The sequence below is a fragment of the Homo sapiens genome, chromosome 1, assembly GCF_000001405.40.
Source record: "Homo sapiens chromosome 1, GRCh38.p14 Primary Assembly".
In the NCBI taxonomy this organism is placed as follows: domain Eukaryota; kingdom Metazoa; phylum Chordata; class Mammalia; order Primates; family Hominidae; genus Homo; species Homo sapiens.
The window spans coordinates 159,086,814-159,109,573 of record NC_000001.11 but is presented as its reverse complement, the minus strand read 5'-3'; the positions used below and the strand labels follow the sequence as shown (position 1 = coordinate 159,109,573).

The following is a 22,760-nucleotide window of genomic DNA, read 5'->3' as shown; positions in this document are numbered from 1 at the left end:
TTTAATTAAATCCCACCTATTGATCTTTGTTTTTATTGCATTTGCTTTTGGGTTCTTAATCATGAAATTCTTGCCTAAGGCAATGTCTAGAAGGGTTTTTTCCAATGTTATCTTCTAGAATTTTTATAGTTTCAGGTCTTAGATTTCAGTCCTTAATCCATCTTGAGTTGATTTTTGTATAAGGTGAGAGATGAGGATCCAGTTTCATTCTCTTACATGTGGCTAGCCAATTAGCCCAGTACCATTTGTTGAATAGGGTGTCCTTTCCCCACTTTGTGTTTTTGTTTGCTTTGTTGAAGATCAGTTGGCTGTAAGTATTTGGGTTTATTTCTGGGTTCTCTATTCTGTTCCATTGCTCTATGTGCCTATTTTTATACCAGTAGAGTATGCTGTACTGGTATGCTGTTTTGGTGACTATGGCCTTATAGTATAGTTTGAAATCAGGTAATATTGATGCCTTCATATTTGTTCTTTTTGCTTAGTCTTGCTTTGGCTATGTGAGCTGTTTTTTGGTTCCTTATGAATTTTAGAATTGTTTTTTCTAATTCTGTGAAGAATGGTGGTGGTATTTGAATGGGAATTGATTGAATTTGTAGGTTGCTTTTGGCAGCATGGTCATTTTCACAATTTTAATTCTACCCATCCCTGAGCATGGGATGTGTTTCCATTTGTGTGTGTCGTCTATGATTTCTTTCAGCAGTGTTTTGTAGTTTTCCTTGTAGAAGTCTTTCACCTCCTTGGTTAGGCATATTCCTAAGCATTTTATTTTATTTTGCAGCTGTTGTAAAGGGGGTTGCATTCTTGATTTGATTCTCAGCTCGGACGCTGTTGATGTATAGAAAAGCTACTGATTTGTGTACATTAATTTTGTATCCCGAAACTTTGCTGAATTATTTCATCAGTTCTAGGAGCTTTCTGGAGGAGTCTTTAGGGTTTTCTAGTTAAATTATGATATCGCCACAAACAGCAACAGTTTGACTTCTTCTTTTCTGATTTAGATGACCTTTATTTCTTTCTCTTGTCTGATTGCTCTGCCTAGGACTTCCAGTACTATGTTGAAGAGGAGTGGTGAGAGTGGGCATCCTTTTCTTGTTCCAGTTCTCAGAGGGAATGCTTTCAACTTTTCCCCATTCAGTATTGTGTTGGCTGTGGGTTTGTCATAGATGGCTTTTGTTATATTGAGGTATGTCCATTGTAAGCCAGTTTTGCTAAGTTTTAATTATAAAGGGATGCTGGATTTTGTTGAATGCTTTTTCGGCATCTATTGAGATTATCATGTGATTTTTTGTTTTTTATCACATTTCTTGACTGGCATATGTTAAACCGTCCCTCCATCCCTTCATCCCTTGTATGAAACCCACTTGAACGTGGTGTACTACTTTTTTGATATGTTAATGGATTTGGTTAGCTAGTATTTTGTTAAGGATTTTAGGATCTATTTCATTGGGGATATTGGGTCTGTAGTTTTCTTTTCTTGTTATGTCCTTTCCTGGTTTTGGCATTAGGGTGATACTGGCTTCATAGAATTAATTAGGGAGGGTTCCCTCTTTCTCTATGATGTGGAATAGTGTCAATAGAATTGGTACCAAATTTTCTTTGAATGTCTGGTAGAATTCTGCTGTGCATCTGTCTGGTCCTGGACTTTTTTTGTTGGTAATTTTTAAATTACCATTTCAATCTCGCTGCTTCTTATTGGTCTGTTCAGGGTATCTAATTGTTCCTGATTTAATCTAGGAGAGTTACATCTTTCCAGGAATTTATCCATCTTTTCTTGGTTTTCTAGTTTATGCACGTAAAGGTGTCCATAGTAGCCTTGAATGTTCTTTTGTATTTCTGTGGTGTCTGTTGTAATATCTCCCATTTCGTTTCTTATTAGCTTATTTGGATTTTCTTCTTTCCTTGGTTAATCTTGCTAATGGTCTATCAATTTTATTTATCTTTTCAAAGAACCAGCTTTTTGTTTCGTTTATATTTCATATTTTTTTGTTTCAATTTCATTTAGTCATGGGTGTGCTCCTGTCCTAGAGTTTTCACAAGAGTTTTTTCCTCTTTCTGTAACATTCTTCCCAAGGTGGCTGCATAATCAACTCCTTCAAGTCTTTGCTTAACTGGTACCTTCTCAGTGAGGCATAGTCTGACTACCCAATTGAAATCACATTATCCACTCCCCCCTGCAGTCCTGATCCATTTTTCGTATCCTGCTTTAGTAATTCTTATTTCAGTAACATGCTATAGTGCGCGCACACACACACACACACACACACACATACACACATGTACATCTGTTGATTTAAGGAGTAAAAGAATAAATGAAAACCTACCTAAACTGTGGCTCATTTCCTCAAAGACTTATCAGGTCACTGCAAGCTCTAAAGAGACAAGATGTTAATAGATGATGGCGATTTACTAGTTTATCCCTAAATTGGATGTCTTTTGCATTTTTGTTTCCCAAAGGACTATTGGAACTTTCTACAGCATAGGATTTGACCACTTTACCATAGACCAGTTTAGAGAAAGTTTGGAAGACTGGTAGGTCTTCATGATCTCTGGAAATAATCCTATAGAAGCATCTATATGTTTTGTCCAGGAGGAAAGCTAGTCCTGCAGTAATGGTTCTAAAAGTAAAAGGTATTGACATTGGTACAGTACTATGTAGTTTACAGACCTCTCTCTACCCTGCCATTTTATTTAATCCTCATAATAGCACTTCCTATTATCTCTATTTAGTTGATGAGGAAACAGAGCCCAGAGAAACTAAGGACTTTCTGAAAGGTATAAGGCTAGTTGTGGCAGAGAGCCTTCACACTTGTGGTTCAGTGCCACATTTTTACTAATATCACTTTCTAAATTATATCAGGGCAACCTTGCATTAGTTGTTCCTTTTGGGATTTTGTAGGAAAGTATTCAGGAGACAGAGAATGTTCTAATCCACAACCCATGAGGGGATGTCAGTGGTGTCCTAGTGTGCAGCTGTATGCCCTGGGAGCAAGGTCTCAGTCATTTTCCACCCAGATCTGAATGGATATTTTCTACAAGGCTTTCAGAAGAAAGAGAAAAATTTTTTCTTTCTCACATTTCACAGTCTTTTTCCAGTTTCTTGCTGTTCCCACAACCTTGACAGCTATAAGCATAATAATAGGTAACATATATTGAACACACCATCTGACATGAACTATTCATGAATTACACACTTACATGTGATAGCAGCGGAAGCCTGTCTAGAGCAGCCACTGTGAAGATGCTGGCTGTAGCAGGGGAGGCGTGGCTGGACCTATGTGCTCCACAGAGCCTGTGGGAGCCAGGAACAGGTGGGAGCCCTGCCTGCTTCTGAGTTGGTGGAGTGGGAGACCGGCACTCCCTGGGCATGGCTGCAGCCACCCAGCTGCAGCTCCGGACCCAGCGTTGCTGTGCTCTTGGGGGTTTGGAAGCCCCCTCTCCCCCTGCAGTCTCAGAAGTGCCTGCTCTCACTCCCTGGCCTCTCCCTGCACCTGGCATCTGCTCCAGTGTGGAGCAAAGTTGTAGCTGAGCCCAGGCACTGTCATGACCTTGCCATGAACAGCCTGGGTGCCTGTGGACAACATGATTAATGGAGACAGGAGGAAGACAGGATCCCGGGCAGAAAGGGGTGGGTCCTCAGTGAAGCCCCATCTTCAAACCAAGGATGGCCCGAAGCATGGGGGCCAGGCTGTCAGTGTTGGGTGGAGTCTGCAGCCTGGAGTGAGAACTTACGGTGCTTTTTTCAGGCCCACCTATGACTACCCATGGACCAATAACTACACACTTTCTCTCTTCTGAGCCCATAAAAACCACAGATTCAGCTAGACTCACATAGACATCGGGACTACTAGCTGCGGAAGGAGCTACCCAATTCGGGTCTCCTCAGCTCATCAGGATGACGTGCCTCCAGATAGGAACTACTCACTCTGGGTCTCCTCTCTGCTAAGAGCTGGACACTCATCGGGACGACCTGCCTGTGTATAGGAGCTACCCACTTTGGGTCTCCCAAAAGATGTTCCGTTACTCAATAAAGCTCCTCTCTACCTTGCTCACCCTCCAGTTGTCCACTTAGTTCATTCTTCCTGGACATGGGGCAAGAATTCAGGACCGCTGAATGGTGAGACTGAAAGAGCTGTAACACAAACAGGGCAGAAACATGCCCCCCCACTCACTATGTTGCAGGCTATGAGAAAGAGGAGCTGCGGCCCAGACCAAGGGGGTCCACGGGCGAGGGCTGTAACACCCTCTTTGGAGGTCTGTGGTTTCTGGCATCTGCAAGCTTTTGGATGCTACTGCATTCCCCCTGTCCAGACGCCAGTTGCAGTACGTCTGGTCCAGTCGTAGCCTCACATGGAGCCAGTGCCTATGCTGGCGCCTGGAGCTGCCTGCCCTGCCGCAGCAGCTGGAGTGCCTGGCTGTGTGCAGTGGCTGGACCCCACACTTGCTCGCTCACACACCCCTTGCTGCTCTGTGCCTGGCTCACCCTTGGCAGGCATGGGATCTGGGCTGGTAGTGTAGGCCAAGCACAGCCTGCCAGGCTGAGTGGGTGGAATGAGCCCAGCAGGCCCAAGCAAGACTCAGGCAAAGGTGCCACTGGACACAGGGGTTTCCGGCTGGTGAAACAACCCCTGAAACATCCTGTGACACATATAATTCACTTATATTTCACACCAACTCTATGTCGTAGGTATTATTATTGGCCCATTTTTCGTAAAAGGCCCAGAAAACACATTTGAGCACATCTCCTAGCTAGAAAGTGGTAGAAATGGAATTTGAACTCATGTAGTCCATGCTCCAGAAAAGCATTGTCCAATAAAAATATAATGCAAGCACATGTGTAATTTAAAATTTTCCAGTAGCTACCTCAAAAAAGTAAAAAGAGACGAACGAAGTCAATTTAATATATCTGATTAAACCCAGTATATCCAAAATATTATCACTTCAACATGTAATCACTATAAAAATCACTCATAAGACACTTCACATTTTTTGTATTAAGTCTTTGAAGTCTGATGTGTATTTTAATCTTACAGCACATCTCAATTTGAATGATAAATTTTAATCAGAAATATTTCATTAGTATATAGATTTCATAGAATTTAGTTGAAAATGAAGGTTTATATATTTAACTTATTTCAATCATACTTATTTTCAATAACTGAATTGAATATGAGTTTTAAATTAAAACTAAATACAATATAAAATTCAGTTCCTCAGTTGCACATTTAGGATGTTTGAGAGCTATGTGTGGCTTATGGCTGCTGCTGTGGGCAGTGTGGGTTTGGAGTCCATGCCTGCAGCCATGATACCATATTGTTTCAATATCAGGGGAGAAGCCCTCTTGTCACCGTGGCTCTGCCCCCATTTCCCCTATCTTGGAATAGTCTCTTTCCATCTTCTTCTCATGGGCTTTTCAGATCTTCTGACATTTAGCCCCTAATATTGGCATCCTCATATTCAGCATTAGTATTCAAATACCCCAGTTTATACAGACCATACTCCCTACTTGGGGAAAGTGAAACTTCATAAAATAAAATAAAAAAAGTGTAGGTTTTTCCTGTTATTTCTGCTTACTAGATCAGAAAATTTGGGATGACCCATCCTGGGGGAAAATAATAGCCAGACAGATTTATGCCAAACCCCATTACTTAATGAGGTTCCAAAATAGCTCCTGCAATTACTTTTTAAATCTCCTTACATCCTCCTTTGGCTGGCGTGGGTGAATTTGGGAGAGAAAAGTGATTTGTCAGAAAGAGAAAGGAGAAAACTCCCCCTAGAATTTCATTTGCTACTGCAGATTTGTTATTCGGGAAGGCTATGGAAGTGAAAGTGAGAAGAAAGGAGAGGTGTGCAAGGCAGTGGAAAAAGGGAAGACTCAGGAGTTAGTGTATCTCTCTTGTATTCTAGTCAATGGTAAGCACCACCTTAAAAATAAGGAAAATGATTATTTCAGTCACCTTGCTCATGTATGCCAGGCCTAGATCCAAAAGCAATGGGTTGAGGACTATGAAAATCTTCCTCCACCTCCCCTTGTTTTAATTCCTCTCTAGGTGAGGTGGAAAGAGGAGATGGCTGTCTCTCCAGATTGACCTGGAGCAGGTTTTGCTGCTGTGACTGACTGTCTTTCTGAGATGAACACTAAGCTGAGGAATATTGTGAACCCATACCAACATAGTAGATGCAGGAAAAAAAAAAGTGGGAATTGTGAAAACTGTGATGTATTAGCCTGTTCTCACACTGCTATGAAGAAATACCCAAGATTGGGTAATTTATAAAGGAAAGAGGTTTAATTGACTCACAGTTCTGAATGGCTAGGGAAGCCGCAGAAAACTTACAATCATGGTGGAGGCGTTTCTTCACAGGGTGTCAGGAGACAGAATGAGTGCCAGCAGGGAAAATGCCAGAAGAATATAAAACCACCAGATCTCATGAGAACTCACTCACTATCATGACAACAGCATGGGGGAAACAACTCCCATGATCCAATTACCTCCCACTGGGTGCCTCCCACGACATGTGGGAATTATTACAATTTAAGATGAGATTTGGGTGGGGACCCAGAGGCAAACTATAACTTCCCACCCCTGACCCCTCCCAAATCTCATGTCCTCATGTTTGAAAATACAATCATGCCCTTCCAACAGTCCCCCAAAGTCTTAACTCATTTCAGCATTAACCCAAAAGTCCAAGTCCAAAGTCTCGTCTGAGATAAGGCAAGTCCCTTCTCCCTGTGAGCCTGTAAAACCAAAAAACCAAGTTGGTTACTTCTTAGATTCAATAAGGGTACAGGCATTAAGTAAATACACTCATTCCAAATGGGAGAAATTGGCCAAAAAGAAGGGGCTACAGGCCCCATGCAAGGCCAGAATCCAGCAGGGCAGTCAAATCTTAAAGCTCCAAAATGATCTCCTTTGACTCCATGTCTCATATCCAGGGCACACTGATGCAAGAGGTGTGCTCCCATGGCTTTGGGCAGCTCTGCCCTTGTGGCTTTGCAGGGTACAGCTCCCCCGCCGGGTGCTTTCACGGGTTGGTGTTGAGTGTCTGCTGCTTTTCCAGGCACATGGGGCAAGCTGTTTGTGGATCTACTTTCTGGGGACTGGAGGACGGTGGCCCTCTTCTCACAGCTCCACTAGCCAGTGCCCCAGTAGGGACTCTGTGTGGGGGCTCCTATCTCATATTTCCCTTCCACACTGCCCTAGCAGAGGTTCTCCATGAGGGCTTTGCCTCTGCAGCACACCTCTGCCTAGACACGCAGACATTTCCATACATCCTCTGAAATCTAGGCAGAGGTTCCCAAACCTCAATTCTTGTCTTCTGCGTACCTGCAGGCCCAAAATCACGTGGAAGCTACCAAGGCTTGGAGCTTGCACCCTCTGAAGCACTGGATTGAGCTGTACAATGGCCCCTTTTAGCCATAGCAGGAGCTGAAGCAGCTGGGATGCAGTGCACCATTTCCGAAGGCTGCATAGAGCAGGGGGCACCTGGTCCCAGCCCAGGAAGTGATTTTTCCCTCCTAGGCCACTGAGGCTGTGATGGGAGGGGCTGCTGTGTAGGTCTCTGACATGCCCTGGAGACATTTTCCCCATTTACTTGGTGATTAACATTTGCCTTCTCATTACTTACGCAAATTTCTGCAGCTGGCTTGAATTTCTCCCCAGAAAATGGGTTTTTCTTTTCTACTACATGGTCAGGCTGCAAATTTTCCAAACTTTTATGCTCTGCTTCCTCTTGAACACTTTGCCACTTAGAAATTTCTCCCACCAGATACCCTAAATCATCTCTCTTAAGTTCAAAGTTCCACAGATCTCTAGGGCAGGGACAAAATGCTGCCAGTTTCTTTGCTGAAGTGTAGCAAGAGTGACGTTTGCTCCAGCTCCCAAGAAGTTCCTCATCTCCATCTGAGACCACCTCAGCCTGGACTTCATTGTCCATATCACTATCAGCATTTTGGTCAAAACCATTCAACAAGTCTCTAGCAAGTTCCAAACTTTTCCACATCTTCTTGTCTTCTTCTGAGCCTTCCAAACTGTTCTAACCTCTGCCTGTTACCTAGTTCCAAAGTCGCTTCTACATTTTCGGGTATCTTTACAGCAGTGCCCCACTGTCTCAGTACCAATTTACCGTATTAGTTCATACTCATGCTGCTATGAAGAAATACTCGAGACTGGGTAATTTATAAAGAAAAGAGGTTTAATTGACTCACAGTTCTGCATGGCTGGGGAGGCCTCAGGAATTTTACAATCTAGGCAGAAGGCACCCCTTCACAGTGCAGCAGGAGAGAGAATGAGTGCCAGAAGGGGAAATGCCAGACACATAAAACCATCAGATCTCATGAGAACCCACTCGATATCATGGGAACAGCATGGAGAAACCACCCCCGCCCCCTGCCCCCAACAGCCCCATGATCCAATTACCTCCCACCAGGTCCCTCCTACAACACGTGGGGCTTATTACAATTCAAGGTGAGTCTTGGGTGGGGACACAGAGCCAAACCATATCATATGAGTATATGTGATGTTGTCTAACTTATCTGTGATGAAAGTGAGGTGAAAGTGAGGTGTACTTCTTGTTATGTATGTAGATGAGACAGCCTGAGTCAACTGAATCTACACTTCAGCCTGGGGGACAGTAGATCTGGAAGCCATGTAGCTATAAATCCAGTGACAGAAATTTCATCCATCCTCAGTGCCCTTTAGATTTTACAAAGATTTTTCACTTCCATTATCTCACTTGAACTTCCCCAGAAGGACATAGAGCAGATATGACTAGCCTGCTGACACTGAGATTCAGGGGGTTTAAGTGGTTCATTCGGGGTCACAGGACCAACTAGCCACACAACCAAGAACCAGGTCTTTGACTTTAGCTTCCTCTTCACTAAGCTTTGCTTTCCTCTACAGGTAAAATGTAAGACAACACAGGAATGCAGATTCAATTGTTGTAAAGGAACATTATAGACTTTCTAGACTCTAGAGACTAATGCCAACTTAGGTTCAGAATAGGTTTCATAGCCACTTCTCTACTTATTCCTGCCTCCACCTTTTTTAATAGGAACATCTAGAATTTCATCATTTCTCTCCAACTGACCCATTGTTCCTCTCCTTCCTGATTTCATGCACTCTTTCTTTCCTTCCTCCCTCTTTCCCTTGGTCCTACTTTTTCTTCTTTTCTACCAAAAATATTCATTACATACATTTGATGTATTAGATATTACAAGAGTACCAGAAAAATAAAGATGAACTTAAAAAAATCATTTCCCAACACAAATGGTTTTATAAGGTGACCAGATAGATTTTTTTAAAGTTGCAGTAGAGAAACAGTAGTGTCATATAGGAGAAAGTGTTTTATAGGTGAAGGTGGCTAAGGGTTGCAAAAGTCTTCATTAACATGGAGAGTCAAAAGAGCAAGGTCTGGAAGGGTAAGTAGGAATACCCTAGGCATTATAAGGTAGAGAAAGGGCAGACCATGTTTCTGGAAAGTTTACTTTGCATGATGATTTTGCCAGGTTTTATCTGCCAGTTCACTTATTGTGGGCATGGTGTCAGGGTTCCTAATTTGGTTGCAGACTATGGAGCCTTGGCTGAAGCACAAACGATTCTCACGGTAGAAGCTAAAATGAGGGGAAAGGCTGGGAGTAAGAATGACATTTTGCTCTCATTTTTTTTAAGGCCAGAGAAGGCAGTTATTAAAGCCAATGTGCAAATGTAAACCCAGTTGGGGGAATTATTTGAGGCTAGGGGATTTTCTTGCTGCTCTTTAAGTGAGTCTCCGTTGTCTTAGACTGATCTTGTTTTTACAGGCAAGGTTAGGCCTGAAAGCCAAGAATAAGTGATCCTCTGGCTTTTGCTGGGATCATGGGAGGATCCTAGAGCTGTAGGGCATTCTCTATCAAGGAGAATCAATTCCAGCTGGGGAATTTGGGTACTTGGTTGCTGATCTGAGCAGACACCAGCCCATTAACAGATGTAGTTATGTTCCTACTTTCAATCCAAGTAGGTGACTTGAAAAAAGAAAAGTTGTTCCCTGAAATGGGCACAGAGTGATGTGATAGGTCTAGTAGTCTTTGGGAGGGAAAAAAAACAAAGTAGGTCTATGGTGACCTTGTGGAATGAATCCTGAGTCGTGCCTTAAGGGGCAAGTCAGAATCTCACATCTATGCATTTTCACCTGCATTGCTTTCACCTCTAGTTTCTTTTGTCCACCCAGTTCTATGGCCGCTCCCTGGAACTTTTCTTCTCTGAACAATAAAATTTGAACATTTCGCTCTCTAACCATTGCCTACCTGGCTCTCTGACTGTCCTTTCAATCCTGTGGCCAGTTGTCCCTGCCCTTTGTCTCCTCTTGCCCCATTCAGATCTGCAATTTTCGACCTATTTTCTCAGTGTGTATTAGTCCACCTGTCTTCACTGCCTTTTCTGTTAAAGTTGGATTTCATGGTCCTGAGCATTAATAACCCTTGCCATACTCTTAATTCTATGGACCCACCATTCTACTGTTACAAGACCCCAACAGTCTGACTTTCTTGAACTTTCTCCAGAGTGACTGAGCACTGATGGAAAAAAAAAAAAAATCACACAACCATGAAGCTTGTGCCACTATGTTTTTAAGACTCTCAGACTCAACCGAGTCCTACCTTTTCAGTGGATTGAAGTAGTCTCTTTTTGTTATCCTGTTTTTTTCTCCATAGCACTCATCATAACCAGAAACTATCTCAGGAGTGTGTTTGTCTATTATCTTCCTCCGCTAAAGCTCCATGAGAAAGAGCCTTTGTTTATTCTTTCCTGTATCTCCAGCACATGGTACATATGGAGTATGGCACATGCTCAGAAGATGTTTGTTAAACAAACAATCTCAGCTTAGATGTCACTAACTCTAGGAATTTTTCTCTAATCCCTATCTCTTACCAAGTCTGACTTTATGGATTTTTCCTTCAGCATCCCGTGTTTTTCTGTCATAGCATTTTCACACTGTATTCTCATTGCCTGTGTACTTATTTTTATCTTTCTCTAGGTCAGCAATACACAATAGAACTTTTTATAACGCTGGAAATATTCTATATCTCTGTTGTCCACTACAGTAGCCGCTAAGCACATATGACTATGAAACACTTGGAATGTGGCTAGCATGACTGAAGAAATACATTTTTACTTTTATTAATATTTAATTTTAATTAATTTTGAGCTGAAATAGTCATATACGGTTAGTGGCAACTGTTGGAGAGCACACACGACTCTCAATTTTCAGCTCTATGAGGTAAGGGACTGTCTGTATAGCTCTCTGTTGTATTTCTCAGGGCCAGCACAGTGCCTGGCTTGTGCCGACAATATGAAGAAAGTTGGGCACATAATCTGTAGATTGTGTGTCTCTTAGTGGTTATTCTTTTCCATGGTGAGATGAAAGTTCAATGTGAAAAAATTCTGTCTCAAAAGGATTTGGATATCTACACTGATGGATTTAAGATATTTAAATGATCATTATTGGGTATGTGAAAGGTCTTCACATAGCTAGCATTAGCTGGTAGGCTTAAGATATCTGAATTCACTGTAGAAATTGCTTATTCTGACTCAACTCTGAACTATACCATAGAGATTTTTAAAAATGTGTTTTCATAAATTCTCTGGAGGTGTACAAAATGAGAAAAACGAAGAAGACCCTTACTGGGAATGTAACACTGTCTCAGAATGGCGTTTTCACTTTATTTCTCCTTTGTGGTTGAGTGGTTTCAGTGCCTGCAATTCTTGAGTTAGAAAATTGATTTGCCGATTTGGTAATGTGAATTAATACTTATAGTTTGTGTCATATAATAAGCATTCGTCTAAGTGTTTCATGTACATTAACTTATGTGATCCTCACAACAACTTCATTAAATAGGTACTACTATTATCTCCATTTGACAGATAAGGAAATTTAAACATAGAAGGGGAAGGGACTTGACCAAGATTACTCAGATAACTCAGTTAAGTGGAGAAATGAGGATGTGAGCCCAGGCATTCTGGTTCCAAAATCCATTCTCACTTGGATTGCCTACTGTATAATTACTTGTACTATCTTGTACTATCTCTCTGTTCTTAGCATAATTCTGCTCTTCATTATGGCTGTGAAATTGTGTGTGTCCACATTTGGTGAAAGTTTCCTAAAGATAATATTTTGGGTTGCAGGCTGGGAGGTGAGGGGACTGGAAGGAATAAAGAGTGGGAGGATGTAGCTATGGCCCAGGGGACAATAATTCACCTTGGAGTTAGAAGCCTCTGCTTCTAATTCCTTCTAATTTATTCTGTTATGAAATTTGGGGAGATATTTCCTAATTTTATTGTTAAAATGACATAAAATATGTATGTGAAAGGGCTTCATCCTGAGCAGGGGCTGAGAATCTGATGTATTGGCACAGTGGCTAGTAAGGAATGTCAGGTCTCAGAGACTACACAGTTACAAGACTTAGCGGTTTGCCTGAGACTGGGGCAGAATTCAGACTTTTCTGTCTCCTGCAGCTCAAGAATTCATGCCCTTGTAGGGGTGAAAGAGAGGTAGGGATCTGCCTACTTCCCGACTTTATTTTCTTTTTTACAATCCCAGATTTTCTGTGCCTTGGAGCTGCCTAAATCTCAGAGCAACCTAATGAGTAGGAAATCACCTAGATCACAAGCAGGTGACAATATCGAAGGATGAAGGGAATACTTTTTGTTTGTTTTTGTCGCTAAAGGCCAGTTTAGTCTCTGTATACCCCCCATTCCCCCCATCATCCTTCACCCTCAGGGAATGAAAGTTACCTCTAAGTCTTGAAGCAGCCCATGTCATACCTGTGCTCTCCAGCCTGCTGGTACCTACAAATAGTTACAGGCATTCTTCTTCTGGTTGGTCCCAGCTCTGAGTCTACTGAGCCATGGTGTGTCTGCCTTGAGAGTGCCTTTTGCAATTCTGTCTATGATCATACCTCAGGAAAGAAATGGCAAGCCACAGAAATTATGAAAAGTTTAGAGAGGCAGTCTTACAAAGAAATAAATTTAAATTGTCTCTTAAAGCTGGAAAAGGAGCCCGTGGATATATAGAGCACCAAAATCCATAAAATTTTTAAAATGAAAATAAATAGCAATTTACTTATTAAATACTATATTATTATTCCCCTGGTATACATGACACATCCAACATTTATTAAGCTCAGACTATGAGCTATTCATTGTGCTAGGTGATTCACACATTATCCTGTTTCTTTTCACAACATTACTGCAAGATAGGCATTATATTTTTATTTTACAGACAAGAATCAGAGAGAGAGAGGCTAAGTAACCCTCCCAAGGCCAACTAGCTAGTGAATGAAGTAGGATTTGAAGATGCATTAAAAATGTTTTAAGTGTCTGCTTTTTCTACTACACAAAGTTGCCTGTCTTGAAGCACAAAGGAGAAGGCTGGGACAACTAATTAAAGAAGGATCTTTTCAGCCTACAGTAGCATTGTGTTTATGTTGAATCAGGAACCAGCACCCTTGTCTCTGGTAGTGGAGTCATCCCAAAGCCCAGATGTACTCTACCAAGACAGCTTATAATCTGGCTTGTGGTAACATGAGATTTTATGAAAATGGACCTTTATTATGTGATGTCTCAAATTTTATTGAGATTTAATATATGAGACCCTAGTCTAATTCCATACTCTTTGCAATTTCTTCTCAATTTGATCCCTCCTTTCACTATAATATCCCTGAAATGAAAAATGAACATCCATAGTCACCAGTATAAAGCATTGAATTGAAATTTTGAGGCTCTCCTTTTCAGTGGTCTTACCTTCTTAGGGAACTCTTGATAATATACAATGTATGATATTGCCAATTAAGAGACTAAAATGTTAAATACTTCTAACCACTACAGATTTCCAAGCATCCTTTATAATATTTTAAGAGTATTTTTTTTTCACTTCAAGACAAACGTGGTACCTTAAAATTCTTAATTTACATACATTTTCTATATCAGACAGAGTAAACTAGGTATCTTTCAGCAAAGGAGGAAGGTCCAGAAAAAAGTGCAGAACATAGCAGAGAGCATTCTTGAGCACGTAGCTGGGGAAACAGAGGTAACAGCTGTCACATAAGCAGAGGCCCTGTAGGCCCGGGTGGCAGATACAAGGTCTCAATGCTCTTACTTCACCTTTCTCTTCCTGAGCCCTCAGTACTGAGAATTCATGGCTCAAGTACATGCAACCACTACCAAATTGATTCGAGTTGACATTTGTAACAAAAACTATTCTCTATCATGCTTTATTTTTTTTTCTGCCTCGGGGAAATGGCTGAATCATTTCACAAATCCCTTAGGATACAGAGACAGAGAGAAGGGATAGATTTAAATGTTTTCTTCCTTTTGATTTAGACTGACTATAATGCTTGATGATAAAGCATGTACAACAAAAATAAACACTTTCCATAATTATATTAATTTACGGATAGCAATGAAAATGATCTGAAGGGATTTCTGCAGAAGAGTTAATACCTGTAGTGCTTCTCTCTCTGGATGATGGGATTATGAGTGTTGTTCTTTGTCTGCTTTTGTTTGGCTACATTTTCTGGATTTTTTTTCAGTAATGATTTAAATTGCCCGCTTTTGTAACAGAGACAAAAAGAAATGGGCTTAATAAAAGAAATAATAATTTTTTTGATATTCAGGGTTTTTTTTTACCTTTTTCGCATAAGCAGCCTAGACTAAGAATAATTGGCCCCAAATAAATTAGACATACAAAGCAAAAAGGTAAAATGACATTCTCAATTTTGGAAAGTTGATTTTTAAAATGTAAATTTCATAAATCATTGCAAAAAATTTGTATGGTATGTCAAGTTACCAATACTTAAAAAAATTCAGTGAGAACATTTGATTTGTTTTCTTTTCATTTTTTCTTCGGAGACAGAGTCTCGCTCTGTCGCCCAGGCTGGAGTGCAGTAATGCAATCTTGGCTCACTGCAACCTTTGCCTCCTAGTTTCAAGCGATTCTCCAGCTTCAGCCTCCCGAGTAGCAGGGATTACTGGTGCACGCCACCAAGCTCAGCTAAGTTTTTATATTTTTAGTAGAGACAAAGTTTCACCATGTTGGCCAGGCTGGTCTCGAACTCCTGACCTCAAGTGATCCACCCACCTCGGCCTCTCAAAGTGCTGGAATTACAGGCATGAGCCACTGCACCTGGCCTTGATTTCTTAAAATTGTTGAATACTGCATACAGAATACTTTTAAGCACATGTTTAAGATGTAAAAGTACACCAGCTCAATGAATAGCTATGTACCTACCACCCAATTTATGAAATATTAGTATTAGGTTGGTGCACAAGTAGCTGTGGCATTTGCCATTACTTTTAAATGGGAAAAACTGCAATTACATTTGCACCAACCTAATAGAGTGTTATCATTATTTCTGAAGTTCCCGTCTGTCCTCTGGTTCTAGCCACTTTCCAGTTCCCTGAAGTTACGACTAAATTTTGTGTCTTATTATCTCTCTGCTTTTCATTTAAGTTTTATAACAATGAACAATATATTAAGTTTTTACAAATTTTTATAATTTAAATATGCCATGTGCAGTGACTCACGCCTGTAATCCCAGCACTTTAGGAGGCCGAGGCAGGTGGATCATGAGGTCAGGAGATCGAGACCATCCTGGCCAATATGGTGAAACCCCATCTCTACTAAAATACAAAAAAAAAAAAATATCCAGGCATGGTGGTAGGCGCCTGTGATCCCAGCTACTCGGGAGGCTGAGGCAGGGGAATCACTTGAACCTGGGAGGTGGAGGTTGCAGTGAGCCGAGATTGTGCCACTGCACTCCAGCCTGGTGACAGAACAAGACTCCGTCTCTCTCTCTCTCTCTCTCTCTCTGTATATATATATACACATACATATATATGTATATATATATTTTCTAAATAAATAAAATGTTATATACATTCCTCTGTAACTTGCTGATCTTCATTATGTCATAACTGCAGTTCATTTTCACAGCTGTAATGTATTCCAGCACATGAGTATCCATGAATATGCCACAATTTATTTGTCCCTTTGACAGGTTTCCCCGTTTTTTGGCTTTAACAGTGCTGCTAAAAGTCTTGCTGGGACTGGGAGTGCTGTGTCATAAGATGTATGTGTCTTCAAAATTAATAGATAATACAGCATTATGTTCCAAACAAGTTGTATCTCCCTATGCTACCAGCAGTGAATAAGATTTGTTAATCTGTAAGAAATATTAAATCCAATTTTTCTCCCAGAATTCAGTGTGTTCTGGCTACGTCACTGCACTGACCCTCAGGAAATTTAGATGCCTTTTAATATTGTATAGCTGAGAAGGGGAATTGAAGTATCATGCTAGATCTTGTAGAATTATATATATGCTGTCATTAGTACTTCTTTTCCATTAGTGTCATGAAGTTGCGTGTGTTTGTGTATTTGTATGGGTTAATGTGCTTTCAGTATTTTATTTATGCGAAATCAGAATGGTATGGGGTTAAGATTTCAGCCTCTGGAAGTAAAAGTTCTGGGATCAAATTATTTATTTATTTATTTATTTATTTATTTTTATTTATTTATTTTGAGACGGAGCGTCACTCTGTCACCGAGGCTGGAGTGTAGTGGCGCGATCTTGGCTCACTGCAACCTCCGCCTCCTGGGTTCAAGCAATTTTCCTGCCTCAGCCTCCCAAGTAGCTGGGATTACAGGTGCCCACCACCATACTCAGCTAATTTTTTTGTATTTTTAATGGAGATGGGGTTTCACCATGTTGACAAGGGTGGTTTCGAACTCCTGACCTCAATTGATCCGCCCACCTAGGCCTCCCAAAGTTCTAGGATTACAGGCGTGAGCCAGTGTGTCCAGCCCCTGGGATCAAATTTTGACTCCTCTACTTACACCTTTGTAACCTCAGGCAAGTAACCTATCCTCTTTCCTCTGCATCTTGGTTTCTCTGTCTGAACGTAGGTACAATTGTTCCTATTCCCAGAGTTGTGGCTGGGCCTAGAGAATACTTAGGACATGAGGATTCACCTCCTTCTCCACTTCCTGACATGATGTTGCCTATGCTTCCCCACCTCTCCCACCTTACCCTTCACCGTGTTCTTCCTTGTCCTCAGAAAATAAGCTTTAACCTCCTTCAGTCTGATAATGTGGGCCTGGGTCCAGAAGAGGGGCCAGTCTCTAATCTGTGTAATTGCGGAGTATGTTTTTGGAGTTTAACTTATTCATAGTTAGGGCTAAAATTGTTATCTGCTATTACAAACTCCTGCTGCATATATATATTTATAACATTTAGGCCATCTTCTACATATTATGTAGTAACTTAATTGTTTTCAGCTTATGCAACATGGTGAATCATTTCCTGAGTCACTTTGGTGGTTAGTCTCTTAGTTTTGCATGTTCAGATAATATTTTCATGTTTTACTGCTAAAATTGTGAATAGTCATTTATTTAAATGAGTTTATATATTTGTTTCCTACAGCAAATATCAGGAATTAGAATTGTTAGGTTATAATTGCCCTCTTTTTTCAATAATTTTTAATTCATGATAAGATGACTCACCTAAGGATTTCACTTAATTGTTTTTTTCCTTAATTTGAACATTAGAAATAGGACTATGTTTAGGGTGTGTGTGCCCTTGGGCAATCACCCTCTGTTTCCTGTGGCCCTGCTACATTGCTAACTTCAGTGGATACCATTTACTTTCTGTTTTGTGTATCCTTGAGGCCCCTTTCATGCTAGAATATTTTTATAGGTGACAGCAGTTTAAGCATCCACATTCTAAGCAGGCCCTTTTCAATAGAGAGGGACGAAGCCACCATTTTTGCTTTGGCAATTGCTGGTGTGTCAGTGAACACACACACACTCATAACATTTGTTACCACATCCTTTATACATCACCCCCTAAGTTACTCTCCAAATACCTTCCCCCAAGGGCATCCAGAGGGCAGGACTTCAGCTGGCTGCCTTGATTCATCCCATCCTACAGATTGCTGTCAACACAAGAGATGATCAGGATAATGTAACGATTGCACTTTGTAAGTATATAATTTTGTTCATTGTCACCAGTTACATGCTGGCCATCCTCAAGCATATAAGATAGTCTTGTAACTTGTGAATCTTCAGAAATCAGAGGAGTTTCTCCTCCTCTTCACTGCTGACAGTAGTCAAAAGGGACCCAGCCTAGAATAAGTAAAGGGAAAGGCAGAACCTGCCAAAGCACGTCGTGACAAGCATGTCATTGTGGACTGACTCTACCCAGCATTTTTTCAGTGGTTGTAATGCCACACATGGCTTTAAGGTATTAATAGGATTGGACACAAGCTTTTCTGTCTTCTACACTTATAAGACCAAGAATGGCTAAATATAAAAAATGTAACCTTTATCCTATCATTCTCTTTTCTAGCTGTATTATTTGTTACTTTATTAAGTAATGTTTAAAGTTATTTGTATTAATTATTTTTACCATTCTCAGGACCATACAAGCCAATTTCTACAAGACTAGCATTAGGATTGAGGTTTCTCATTTAATGGTGATTCATCTTTCCCACATACAGCCTGCCCCTTCATTCTGATGTTTCCATTTCAGCAAGAGACTGAAAGGGAAAGGAGGTCAATAGGAAGTTACTCAGGAAGAAGAATACCAGGAGGGAGTGATGGTGCTGAACACAAGGGAGCCATTTGAGGTGGAATCTTTGAAACTCAGACACTTTATGCTAATGTGGTAGAGGTTGCTTAGGGAAAGTCTTTAGCATCAATGTAAAAGACAATTTTAACTCAAAGAACGATCAAAAATTATTTCCCTGATGGTTTGCTAGAGTCAAAACATGCCTTACACATGTTTGATGCTGACTCTGACAGAGGGATCTGTGTCTCCAGTTACCATGTCAGGAGACTAGACAAACAGCTCATGGTAAAAAATAAAAGACAAATGAATAACCTCCCAAACACAACCTTGTAGGAAAAATAGTAAGAGTTTTCACCTTAAGGTAAAGTTTTGGACTTGGTCTGAAGTGTCCATAGAAGGCATTTAAATAAACATTTTTATTTAGAGATAGAAACAAAAACAAAAATTGAAAGGCATGGAATTTTAGTGGCGTGATGACAATTACAATGACAAAATTATGAAATGTGAAGCAGTCACACGCTTTCTAGCAGTATGCGAGAGAGACTGATTCATGGACTTTAAATTCATGTATTATTTTTACATTCTGGTATATTTTTGCACTTTATAGTCACATCTTTTTCTGGTGTATGTATCTTTACACTGCATTCCTGCACTTTATTTAAAGTGACAGTATTTGTGAATATGACTGAAGTTAAGAGTTGAATGTTGTCTTATGTTGGGTCCCCAAGAAACAGACTGTTAGATTTGCCTGCAAGAAGTTTATTAGAGGGTGCTCTTGGGAACACCTATAAAGGAGAGAGGGAAACTGGGTTGGGCGGAGGGAGAAGTTAAATTGCAGTGAGGGCTGCAGCCAATCCCCCTGGGAACCCTAGAGCTGGGATGGCCTCTAGTTATGCCTAAGTGAGGCAAGAAGGCTGTGACCTTGAACCTCCTCATAGACCCTAAATCCTTGGCTTCAGGCTTTCTCCATGGAAGGATGCAACCTTGGGGAAGGCAGTTCCCTTCAGCATAGGGCAGTCCTGGAACACAGACTCAGGTGTCAGCTGTAACACTTCTAGCAGCTGGGAAAATAGGCACTTTGGTTGTCTGGTTGAAGGGTCTAGGGTCCAGTTACTGAAAACAAATAGTTACTGAACTAAAAACCGATAGAATAGGTAGGGCAGAGATGAAAGAGCAGTGATTTATGGAAAGCTTAGAAGAATAACTTCGTCGTAGGAAACCATGTGTATATTCTTATGATTGTGTGATTCTGGGACTCAGGGTACATGTTTTGAGTGGCCATTTTTGTTTTGACTGGTACATAATTTAAAGAACTAAGCAGAGTGATCCTGTGTTTGTTTGTTTGGTTTTGCATTCAGCTATCCTGAGAGTAAAGGAGTGAAACTAGGAAAGAAACTTCTTAAGGGAGAACCAGATAGTGAAACTAAGCAGGGGAGCCTGTAGGTAAGGGGGTTGAACAAACAATCCAACACAGGGGCTTCTTTAAGCAAGTGACATGCTTTATGTCTACCTTCTGTGCTTCTATCCTGATCTACCTTGGTTTTTATCCTTTTGGTTATGGAGTTGAACTTCTTCATCTTGCCACCAGGAGGCAGTGTTTTTTAGTGCTTAGGAGGATGTGCTTTGGCTACACCAGATGAAGTTCAAATCTTATTTCTACCATTCACTAATTGTATGACCTTAGTCCATTCACAAACACCGCTAAGCCTCTATTTTCTCATCTATAAAATAAGAATAATGACGGTACTCACTTTGCAGGATTGTTAGGAATATTAAATTGAAATAATGCTTATAAGCACCTAGGTCAGAAGCTCACAGCTCGTCTCACTTGCCAGAAATGGTCTCTTTTTCCATCTCATACAAATGACAGTCCTTAACCAAGTTTTCTTAAGAAATTCGTCAGTGTTTTCTTTGAATAAAGTATGAAGGAGGGAAGTAAGATGTAATGGGTTTGGTGATGAACTAAGTTAAAATGTGAAAATGGAGATACCTGTGAACACAGCTGCTCTTAGTCATTGTTTCAGTCCATTTTGTGTTGCTTATAACAGAATACCTGAAACTGGGTAATTTATAAAGAAACAAAATGTATTTTTTACAGTTCTCGAGGCCGAGAAGTTCAAGGTTGAGGAGCCCATCTGGTGAGGGCCTTCTTGCTTGTGGGGACTCTGCAGAGTCCCCAGGCAGCAGAGAGCATCACATGGAGAGGCAGCTTAGTGAGCTAGCTCAGGTCTCTCTTCCTCTTCTTTTAAAGCCACAAGCCCCACCCCATCATAAGCTATTAGTCCATTAAGCCATTAATCCATTCATGAGAGCAGAACCCTCACGACTCATCACCTCTTAAAGACCCCACCTGTCAATATTACCACATCAGGGATTAAATTTCAACACGAGTTTTGAAGGAGACAAATATTTAAATCATGTCAGACATCAATACATAGAAAGAAAAAGCTGCAGTTACTTAGACACTGCAGTTTCATTGAAGCTGGTTCTTGGTGGAGGAACATCATTTGCCTCCATGGAGGCATATGTTTTGATATTGAATTGGGGAAAACCAGACTGAAGCTGTAAGTCATGCCCTTGGCATTATGAAGCAGCAAACATCGGGCCCAGCTGACTCATGCAGCTCCTGAATCCTGGCATTCCTTCCTCTCATGGTTCTAAGGCATGTTCTTTTATTGAAAAAACTTCTTGGCCACATGTTCAGGAAGATGTAGGATCCAAGTGTCAGAGACATAACTTCTGTGTCTCACATCTCACAGTCACATACCTCAAAGCCATTTTCCAGAGGCAGTTCAGTCACCCCCAGACCTCAAGCAGGCCTGATAACATCAAAAGCATCCTGTGCCTCATCTATGCCTCTTCCTCTTTTTCTGTCCACCCGATGTTCCACCTAGAGACTCAACTTATCACCAGTTATATTAAATCTTTCCACTATTTTGTAATTTCCCTTCATCTACTTTGTTAAATGAGAAACAGGAAAGAAGCAAGAATAAACTGAAAAATTTTTAATTATGCAAAAAAACTTAGGGATCAAAGGATCACTCTGGCAATGCAGAAATCTACCAAACTCTGCCACTTATCACTATTACATTTAAAAAAAGTAGACTTGGCTGGGCACGGTGGCTCACAACTAATTCCAGCACTTTGGGGGGCCAAGATAGGCGGATCACTTGAGGTCAGGAGCTCAAGACTAGCCTGGCCAACGTGGTGAAACCCCGTCTCTACTAAAAATACAAAAATTAGCTGGGCGTGGTGGTGGGCACTTGTAATCCAAGGTACTCCAGAGGCTGAAGCATGAGAATCGCTTGAACCCAGGAGGCAGAGGTTGCAGTGAGCCGAGATCACGCCACTGCACTCCAGCCCGGGTGACAGAGCAAGACTCCATCTCAAAAAAAAAAAAAAAAAGACTTTATCCAGAATAAAGAAAAAGCCTGGCATTGCTTTTTATAACACACAGATGGCATCATAGGTTATTAAGAATTTATTAATAATTGATTAATATAAATGGTGGGCTATAAATACCAGAATCGTCCTCCTGATCCCCCCATCCTTGTCTTCAGGTATACTTCCACAGTTCAGCACAAGTATGGTTCCTTCCACTGACACTTAAAGGTTAACTTAGTCTCAGCCATGGTGATCATTTTTTTTTTTTATCACAACCTCACCTGACTGCCATCATCCTTACCATCACCCTGACTCAGCCCTATCACTAGTATTGTCAATATAAAGGACATTGAGTAGTGTAGGAGTCAAGGAAAAGCGAAGAAGTAGAGACTGTTGGGTTGGGAGCCTAGGTCAGTGGGAGAGTTGTGGTTCCATTAACAGTAAAAGGGAAGTAAGAATGAGAAAGTACTTAGAGTCCTAAGACAATCAATGATTTAGGATATGTAGAGGTTGAATTTTTCATTATGTATTTAAATAAAAATGTGTAGCACAAAGTTTCAAATGTACACTTGGAGTTTTAAGGTGGTGAGTCTTGGTGATTTGAGTTTGCAATTATTTTATACAGATTCAGTTTCTGCCCCTAAGGAGTTTACACTTCACTGAAAAAGGCAGACAAGACATTAGCCCTCATAAAACAATATATTGATAGTCATAATAATAATGGATAGAGTTTACTGAGTTCTTTCTTTCAGTTACTTTGCTTAGTGTTTTAAACATGTAA

The 22,760-nt window shown here is 40.8% G+C and overlaps 1 protein-coding gene across 3 annotated transcripts in view; it reads left to right on the top strand.

The window, feature by feature from the left end:
* The window catches only part of AIM2 (absent in melanoma 2), a 92,082-nt gene that overhangs the window by 37,559 nt on the left and 31,763 nt on the right, over positions 1–22,760 (top strand). For 2 of the 3 annotated variants that reach the window (XR_007064924.1, XM_047434809.1), the window contains one exon: positions 17,903–18,005. The exons of the other annotated variant lie outside the window; for it this stretch is intronic. The gene's annotated coding sequence lies outside the window, so the exon portion shown is untranslated. The remainder of the gene's footprint in view (positions 1–17,902; positions 18,006–22,760) is intronic. 3 annotated transcript variants of the gene reach the window in all.